Source organism: Homo sapiens, chromosome 2 (assembly GCF_000001405.40).
Source record: "Homo sapiens chromosome 2, GRCh38.p14 Primary Assembly".
Lineage (NCBI taxonomy): Eukaryota > Metazoa > Chordata > Mammalia > Primates > Hominidae > Homo > Homo sapiens.
In genome coordinates this window covers 147,801,637-147,811,026 of record NC_000002.12, presented here as the reverse complement: position 1 = coordinate 147,811,026, position 9,390 = coordinate 147,801,637, and the positions used below count along the sequence as shown (strand labels likewise).

Sequence of the window (9,390 nt, the reverse complement as noted above, 5' to 3'; positions counted from 1 at the left end):
TCCCTCCCTCCCTCCTTCCTTCCTTCCTTCCTCCCTCCCTCCCTCCCTCTCTCCCTCCCTCCCTTCCTCCCTCCCTTCCTTCCTTCCTTCCTTTACTTTCTTTCTTGTCAGGGTTCATTTTGTTGCTCAGGCTGGATTGCTGTGATGTGATCATGGCTCACTGTGACCTGGAACTCCTGAGCTCAAGCAATCCTACTGCCTCGGCCTCCCAAAGTGCTGTGATTACAAGCGTGAGCCACTGCACCCGGCCTTCTCCATCTTCTGAATTGTTTCTTCCTTGAATTTGTCCTTTCCCTTTTGTACTTAGTGAGATTTGCCTTTCGGTTCAAGGATCTTTTTGCACTCTTTGTCCAGTTTTAGCTTAGTGACAACCATCCTGCTGGGGTGAATTCCCACAGGGACAGTTGTGCCATTAGCCTTCTCCTGCTGCATCGGTTCAATGTAGATCATATATTTCTTCCTCTAAACCTGGACTATTTTGCCAATTTGCTGGCCTTTGTAGTGTCCTTGGACAACCTGTACTTTATTATCCTTTTGGATGAACACGGATTGAACGTTTCTTTTCTGTCTTAGTTCTTTGGAAAGTGGGGAAGACATAATCTTCTTGTGAATGTGGGAAGGTGCATTGAAATGACTTTTCCAGTTCTTGGTCTGCTCACATATCACAAAGGGATTGGCTTTTGTTTTGGCTGCTGCTGCTTCAGTGATGGCCACAAAAGAGAAGAGAAGATGGAGTTTTCAGAGCATTTTCTCTAGCCAGAATCTCCTGGTCTGCTTGACTGTACAGGTGTTCCATTCCAGTCTGCACTCAGTCTATTGCCTGGCCTACTGAGTTTTTTTTTTTTCTTCTGAAAGTTTGTGTTTGTAATTTTCACACACTTGGAATCCTAGTTAGGCATTTAGCTGTACTCTTTTACACAAAGATTTGATGACATCTCTTTGTTTGTTTGTTTTTTGTTTTGTTTTGTGTTTTGAGACTGAGCCTCGCTCTGCCACCCAGGCTGGAGTACAGCGGCACGATCTCAGCTCACTGCAACCTCTGCCTCCTGGGTTCAAGCGATTCTCCTGCCTCAGTCTCCTGAGTAGCTGGGATTACAGGAATGTACCAGCACGTGAGGCTAATTTTTCTATTTTTAGTAGAGACGGGGTTTCACCATGTTGGCCAGGCTGATCTCGAACTTCTGACCTCAAGTGATCCACACGCCTCAGCCTCCTGAAGTGCTGGATTACAGGCGTGAGTCACCACGCTCAGCCCCACCCCATTTTTTTTTATTGTTGTTTTGGTGGTTTTTTTTGTCGTTGTTCAAAGAGACGTGTTGAAAGAATGGACTCTGGAGTCAGATAAGTCAGACTTTGAGCTTATTACGCATGTGTTGACTTTTTCCACTTCTAAAATTAGTTATGTAACATCTCATCATAAGTTGTTTATAATAAGACCAATCACACAGGACCTGCTATGAAAATTCCATACTTGTAAAGTGCTACCTAGAGCCTGACACGTGGTTGGCACTCTATATGTATGAGTTTCTTTTAAATTTATTTGGGATATTTGAATGCCTATTTATTTTTGTGAAAGGGTTTATGTTTAAAAAATTAAAAAAATATACTTTCGTTCATGCGTCAAATATTGTTGTGCTCTTCTTTATGCCAGGTACAGGTTTAAGAGCTGAAAATATATAGTAAATAAAACTTAGAATAGGCCAGGCACAGTGGCTTATGCCTGTAATCCCAGCACTTTGGAAGACTGAGGCAGGAGAATCACTTGAATCCAGGAGTTCAAGACTAGCCTGGGGAGCACAGTAAGACCCCATCTGCACAAAAAAAAAATTATTTAAAAATTAGCCAGGTGTGGTGACTCATGTCTGTGGTCCCAGCTACTCAGGAGACTGAGGCAGGCGAATCACTTGAGCCCGGGAGGTTAAGGTGCAGTGAGCCATGGTCAAGCCACTGCACTCCAGCCTGGGTGAAAGGGAGACCCTGTCTCAAAACAAACAAACAAACAAACCCAAAAAACAAAATGAAAAAACTGAGACTATTTAAGAAATATTACTTTTATATAAGAATTTATATTCTTCTGGGGAAGACAAACAATGAACAATATAAATATGTGAAATATATAATATATCAAATGATGATAACAATTGTAGGAGAACAAGTTGTGCCAGGAACGGGTAACATTTGAGCAGAGACTTGAAGGAGTGGAGGGAGTGAACCATTTGAATACCTGATGGAAGAGATAATGGCAAGTACATTATCCTGAAGCAAAGAGGCAGGCGTGTCTGGGGTAGAGTAGGAGATGCAGCCAGAAAGATAGCAGAGGCCACGTCATGTGGCACCCTGGAGGCGGTGTAAGGGCTTTGGGTGTTACTCTGAATGGAGGGGATTGAGCAGAGGAATGACAAGATCTGACTATGATTTAACCAGAAAGCAGTCTGACTCCTCTGTTGAGAAGATACTGCTAGAAGGACCAGGACAGAGGCAGGGAAGATCAATGAGTAGGTTACTGTAGTAATCCATACAAGTGATGGTGGTGACTTGAATCAGAGTTGTGGGTAGCAGAGGAAGCAGTCAGGAGGGATTGTAATCTGGATATATTTTGCATAAAGGGGCTGAAGGATTTTTGTAGGGTGTGAGAAAAAGGCAAATAAAATTTTGGATGACTCTAAAGATTTTAGCTTAAGAAACTGGAGTGGTTGGTAAATGAAAGATTAAGACTGGGACATTGACATGTTTGGAAATGAGAATGGGGGACAGATCAGAAGTGTTCATTTAGATAAGTTTGAGATTAAAATGCTTATTAGACCAAGAAGAGAAAATGTTCATTAGGGTTTTAAGCCATGTAGGCAGACTGTGGATACCAGAAGATGAGTATATGTAGACAAGAGACTAAGTCCTGGGACCCACTAGCACTAGCATTAGGATGAAGAAAAGCTGGAGATGAGGAAGAACTATCTGACTTGCTAATGTATTGCTCATAATAAAATGTAATTTGGGGAATACATTTTGAGGAAATCTATCTTTCACCTCACTTCCCAATTCAAACTTTTAGAGAGTGAGACGTTTGCTTCCTTGAAATAACAAATATTGCATATCTATTGGTTAAGAAGCTTAGAACTCCAGAAAACTTCACAAAACTTCAGGAGATTTCTATGGAAAGTAGACCAAAAAATTATCTATATACCAGAGACACTAAAGTCTCTAAAAAAAAACCCCAAGCCTTGAACAAGGATTAGTAAATTTAGAAATGGCTTACAAATACATCTAAAGTAGAAAAGTGGGATAATGAACATTGAGAGGTGATGGCCAGTGTTTTCAGTGAGCAGAGCCATGTAAGTCATTTAGAAATGGCTTATGTTGGCCAGGCTGGTCTCAAACTCCTGACCTCAAGTGATCTGCCCACCTTGGCCTCCCGAAGTGCTGGGATTACAGGCTTGAGCCACCGTGTCTGGCCCTCCAGCTCTTATATAAGAAAGAAATCAATGACTATTTATTTGAGCCATTGTTGTTTTCACCTTCACTACAGAGGCCAGACTTGAATCCCATGGCCCTTCTAATAGAGGCCAGTGTGCTAAAGTACAGCAGCAGTTGTTCTCTATTATCTGTTGATAGAGAAAATACATAATAACAATGAGGTATTATAAATGCAAGAAGGTTTTAAGTAAATTTTTATTTAATTAATCACAGCTACATACACTTGAAAAATAATAGTGCTTACACAGATGAGATGTATTGCTTGTTCACTCTACTGATGTGTGAACTGGTATGTGGGTTTAAGAACTCTTTGCCAAACCCCTTCTCTAAACTACTTTTTGAAGTCCATGGACTCAGGACTTAGAGTTAAAAATGAGGTTAAGCAGTATGGGAGCCAGCTCTGAAAGTCTTATGCAAATAAAACCTGAAATGCCAGTTCAGCCATGAAGCTGTTGACTTCAATTAGGTAAGTGAGGAGAGCAAAGGCCCAGAGAGTCCAGTATCTGTAGTGGACGTTGTGGTCATTTCCCCAACAGCACTTTGCTACTTTCCTGCTGCTTAACAGCCATTCCATTTGGGTTAGTGTACTGGGTTGGATAGTTTCTCCTCTCAAATTCTTATTCACTCAGAACCTGTGAATGTGACCTTGTTTGGAAATAGGGTCTTTGAAGATGTGATCAAGTTAAGATGAAGTCATGCTGGATTAGAGTGGGCCCTAATTGAATCACAAGAAGAGGGAAATTTAGGCAGAGACACAGAATAAAGGCACCATGTAAAGACAGAGGCAGAGATTGGAATTGTTATGTATCGAGCCAAGGAACACCAAGGATTACTGTCAACAACCAGAAGCTAGAAGAGATGAGGAGGGATTCTTCCCTGAGCTTTCACAGGGAGCATGGCCCAGCCAATACCTAGATTTTGGACTTCAAGGACTATAGAATAATGAGAGTAAATGTCTATTGTTTTAAGCTACTCAGTGTGTGGTACTTTGTTACGGCAGCTCTATGGAACCAATACAGTGTGATTGATCCTGCCCTCAGCTGAAGGCTTGTATGACTGTGAACACGTCTAACAACCAGTACACGATCCACCCAAACAGAAGAGGTGTCTGCTACATTGCTGGAACAGGGTCCAAATGAATGCTTGCTTTGCAGGTATTAACTTTTTAACCACTGGGTAATAGAGAAGTCAGGGGCATTCAAGGCTGGGATGCTGGTACAGTGAACACTTTAGCAGAGGGAGAGGGGAGCTTAGAATATTGGCTACTTATCCTCCGGTATAGAAGGATTTCAATATTTTATATACCTATGGGGTTATATCAGTGTGTGCCAGGTACATGCTGAAGTTGGTTCCTACCAATATATCTTTCCTTCTTGCCACTACAAATGACTCAAGAATTACCCAAATTGGGCCTATCAGAATGAAGCTCAGACTTTGATGTTTTTTTTGGCTAAAGGAGAACATGCCTTCTTTTGGGAGATATAAATGAGAAATAACATGAACCCGGTTGCTGCTAGCTAAAGCTTTGCAACCTGGAAAGAAAGTAGCTTAAGGGCAGACCCAAAAATCAAAGAATGAAAGAACTGAGAGAGTGGCAGCCAAATGGAACTGGAACTGATCATTTGCACCTAAGTCTCCCATCTTCTGGACTATTACTTATATGAGCCCATAAATTCTCTTTATTATTTATGCAAATTTGAGTTGGATTTCCTGTTGTTTATAACTAGAAGTATCCTAACTAATACAGTCCTTGTGATTTTCTTGGTAGATATTTATTGCGTCCTTCTCTTTGAAACATTTTATTTTGATGTCTGCTACTGTGATTATTTTAAAATTACCTTTTACCTTTGTGTTCTATTAATAAATACGTGAGATACCAGCCATGCATTAAGCAGATAGGACTTTGCTGAAAGACTACAATAAGCCAACTGTATACTAAATCCTTAGACTGCAACTCAAAAGCAAACACACACACACACACACACACACACACCCCTGCAATTTCCCCCACTGAACTCCCTGCCATGTATAATAAAAGCTAGTTTGCATTATAGATGCAATAGATGGGCAGAATGGTACCAATGAATGGAAGGGGATCTGTAATCTATGGGGATAATAGAAAAATAAAGGAAGGTATTAATTTAAAGAAATGTGGTTTTGTGAATGAAATTTTCTTCTATAACAACTTCAAAAATAAATCAAATGGTAGTGCAAAGGCCAATTTAAATACAGAGGCTAGCAAAGGAATGGAGATGGAGAGAGATGAATAGAGGTGGCCAGGGGAAAATCATGAAGTTTAAACTCTTTTTTCTGTATCTCAGCCTTCAAAATAAATCTTTCTTTTGCAGTTCTGGGGGCCATTTCAAAAACAGGGTTAAGGAAGGGCAGAGACAAAGTACCAGTGTTCTCTGTGCCTCACTAAAAATGAAAAATTTGAGTTGACTCAATTGATTTAAGTTATCTTGAATTACTGTTCATGCGTTTGCATACTGAATTTGCAGCTTCTGCTTTGTACTCCTAATGGCAGCTGCTGTCTATACATTGTTAACAATAAATATTTAAAAATGTAATTCCAGATTTAGCCAGCATTCCATGTACCTTCAACTGATTTTGAAATTAGTATATTGCTTTCAATAATAAGGAAAAATGATTTTAGAAACAAAACTGTAAAAATGATAAACTATCTTTTCCCAGTATGCAATTCATATTAAATTGATGGTGTCTGAAGAATACCAAACTGAGATTTTATCAATACATGCAGTACCACACATTTCTTATTTTAGTTGCTAATTAGTATTCAGGTGTGCAGTGGAATACATAAAATTAAATGCTAATGCTGCTTCATTTGTGATTTAACATGTACAAGTTACTATATGCTACATTACCCTGTCTATGCACATGTATAATAGTTGTTTTTTCTTTGCAATCATAATATCTTCATGTAGTTATTTTATTCAATCTTCTAAGGCCATGATATGAATAAATCTTTTTGGTTTAAAAAATCATTACCTTCTGTAGTTTACAAATGAAAAAAAATATCTGAGAGTCATTTTTAAAAGGCTTCAATTGAGGACTTAGTTTAATTGACCCAACAGCAAGGAAATTTTAGTTTTTCTCTCTACTTTGTTTCACTTAAGTTGTGATTAACAGCTACATAAAATTGTGAGCCACCTAATGGAAGTAGTTTTATAAATATTGCATGCCATTTTATGTTCTTCACTCTGTACTTCCCTTATAAAGTATTTTTATGTTAAAAATTTTCAAAGTTAATGTGTGAGGAAGTAACTAGCTACTTTAGTTAGTTAGATTTCTCTTCCCTGAAGAAAATTACTATAATGGTTACTTTTGCTAAAATGCAATTACTGTCACTGTAACAATCAATCATATTTTTTATATAAGAAACTTTAACAACTTTTGAATGCATTAAGAAAAGTAAATGAAAAAGACTCAGTGTGAAATAAGACTAGACACCCAAACCACCCCCTGCGACCCGACATTTGACAAGAAAAAAAATCTTAGCTACCTCTTTTGCAATACATTTTATTGCCTTATCTAAGATCACTGTGAAAGTTAAACTGTAGTAGTAAGCATGTTTCTCAGAGCATCATTGAAAAATGCTGTGTATATTCAACAACTATTAGCTATATTGTTTCTGGTGCACACAGTTTAATCCCAGCCCAACGGAATCTGTAGTCCTCCAGTTTCACAAATTAAACCAAAAGACACCATTTGAAAAGGTTTAACATTTGTTATACCCCTATAGATGAAAACATCTCTACATGAAAAATAGAGCTTAGGAAATATGAACTGTATTAGCTTTCAGCTTTAATAAAGGGATCACCAGTTGAGGTCAGCAGAAATTATTTGTCTCAAAATATTGTGCAGTCACATACCTTACAGACAGTATCTCCCCCCCAAAAGCATCTATAATAAATATACTAATTATGAAGACAGAATATTAAATATATTATGAGATTACTGCTACTCAAAGCACTCTATTTCTCATAAAGTATTAGGAATATGGAAATAGATGACTTGATCCATACTGTTATTTAATAACGTGTATTGACATGATGAATACTTTCATAAGTGACATTAATCAAAATATATCAAAGAATAATATATTATGATTAAAATACATTATTTTATGAGCTGTTGCACTGAACACAAAATTAATGCCTAGTAGCACAGGCAAACATAGCTCTGTTCTCTCTTCTAATTCATTGCTGCCCCAATCTCTACCCCTATGTCTGTTTCTTCTCATTTTCCCTAGTATATTTAATGGTAACTGTATCCAACTAATTTCTCCTAAACTAGACGCATGAGAAATATTTTCATTCCTTCTTCTTCCTTAGCTCTTTCATTCAATCCATTACTTAATTTCCATTCTAATTGGAGAAGTCTCTGTAGGCTTCCATTGTCTTCCTTTAGGCCCCTTGTCTACAACCTTCTATAAGCCTTCTCTACAACCTATAAGGTCTCAGTGTTACCAGTCTCTCTCATTTGTCACAACCCTTTTCCTTGCTTCCAGAGTTATCTTTCCAAACTCCTTGGCATGACATACTGTTCTCATCCCATTCTGTCTGATCTCACCCCTATCAGCTTCTTGGGCACTCCTACCCACTGTCCCCTGTCCTACCAGTGACCTAGTTAGTCCAAAGAGCTCTATAGTAGTGGATGCTGCTTTTTCTTCCTGGAATACCCTTTTCTAGGCTTCTGATTATAAAATTGCTATTTTTTCCATAAATCTCATCTAAAAAGCCTTCTCTGACACCCTCAGGAAAATGAGATGTTTTTTCTTCTGTGCTGTAATAGTTGTTTGGACATAAGTGGCTTATAGCACTTTCTGTGTTTCTTGAATTTTCCTCCACCACTCTGTGAGCTTATCCAGGGCAAGGACCTGTATTACTCTTTTTAGTATTCCTAGTTCTTAGCTCAGTGTATGACATAAGATAGCCCCTCCATACAGAGTGAAGGAAGGAGTGAATGATAAATCCTTTAGTACTTTTAGTTGTGAAATGGTTTCAGTACTTTATTACTTCTGGATTCACATTCTGTCTGGAAAAAAATCATTAAGAAAAATAGCCATTTAAAGTTATGCTGTAAAAATTAGTTTTTACCAATTTACCTAAAAGTAAAATCCATTACAATTAGAGGCCATTCTTCACTGTTAGAAGCCTCTCCATTCACATAAACACACACATGTATAAGATTATGAGAAAATTCATATAAAAATATGAGTTGTGAATGACCAATGTGTAACAGCTGTATGCATGATTATTTGTTAATAAAAAAAATCCCAAACAAAAGCAAACCACTACAAGATATCACTTGGACATTAGATTTCTTTTATTTCCCTCAAAGCTAAAGCTGGCTATAAAGAGTTCATCTGGTGGCAATTTTTTGAATGTATTTTAAATTGGTATAGTAGTAGACGGAGCTATCTATAGAAAATTGCATTTGGTTCTATTGCCAGTGTGTGTTTCTCTCCTTACATTCCATCTGTTATCAGAAAACTAATAAAGGTGCTTCTTTATGCCACTGCTGTACTTTCTAGAAAAGGGAAAATAACAACGTAAGTGTCAACATCCTCCCTCTCTCAATTAAAGGAGGTACAATTATTTCCCTTAAAGTACATTTGAATCAGATACCAGTCATTTTAATTTCACCAGAACCCTCATGTTCTTTAAGGAGTTGCTCTTCCCTCATGCCGGGGGTTTTGGTGGAAACGTCAGTCTCAGTGAAGGGCCAGCTTGTGGCTGTAGCAATGGGCAGAAGACCCAAGCCTGTCTGATCATGGTATCTCTTCCTTCTGCCTACAGTGTTTGATGCAAGTGGTGGGCGCATGACCGAGACAGGACAACTTAGAGTCCTTTTGTGAGGAATGTCAGTGTGTGCATGTGTTGGAAGAGAAATGGC

At 38.3% G+C, this 9,390-nt stretch overlaps 1 pseudogene; it reads right to left on the bottom strand.

Annotated features, from left to right (window-relative positions):
- RPL26P14 (ribosomal protein L26 pseudogene 14) lies at positions 463 to 9,180 on the bottom strand (annotated as a pseudogene).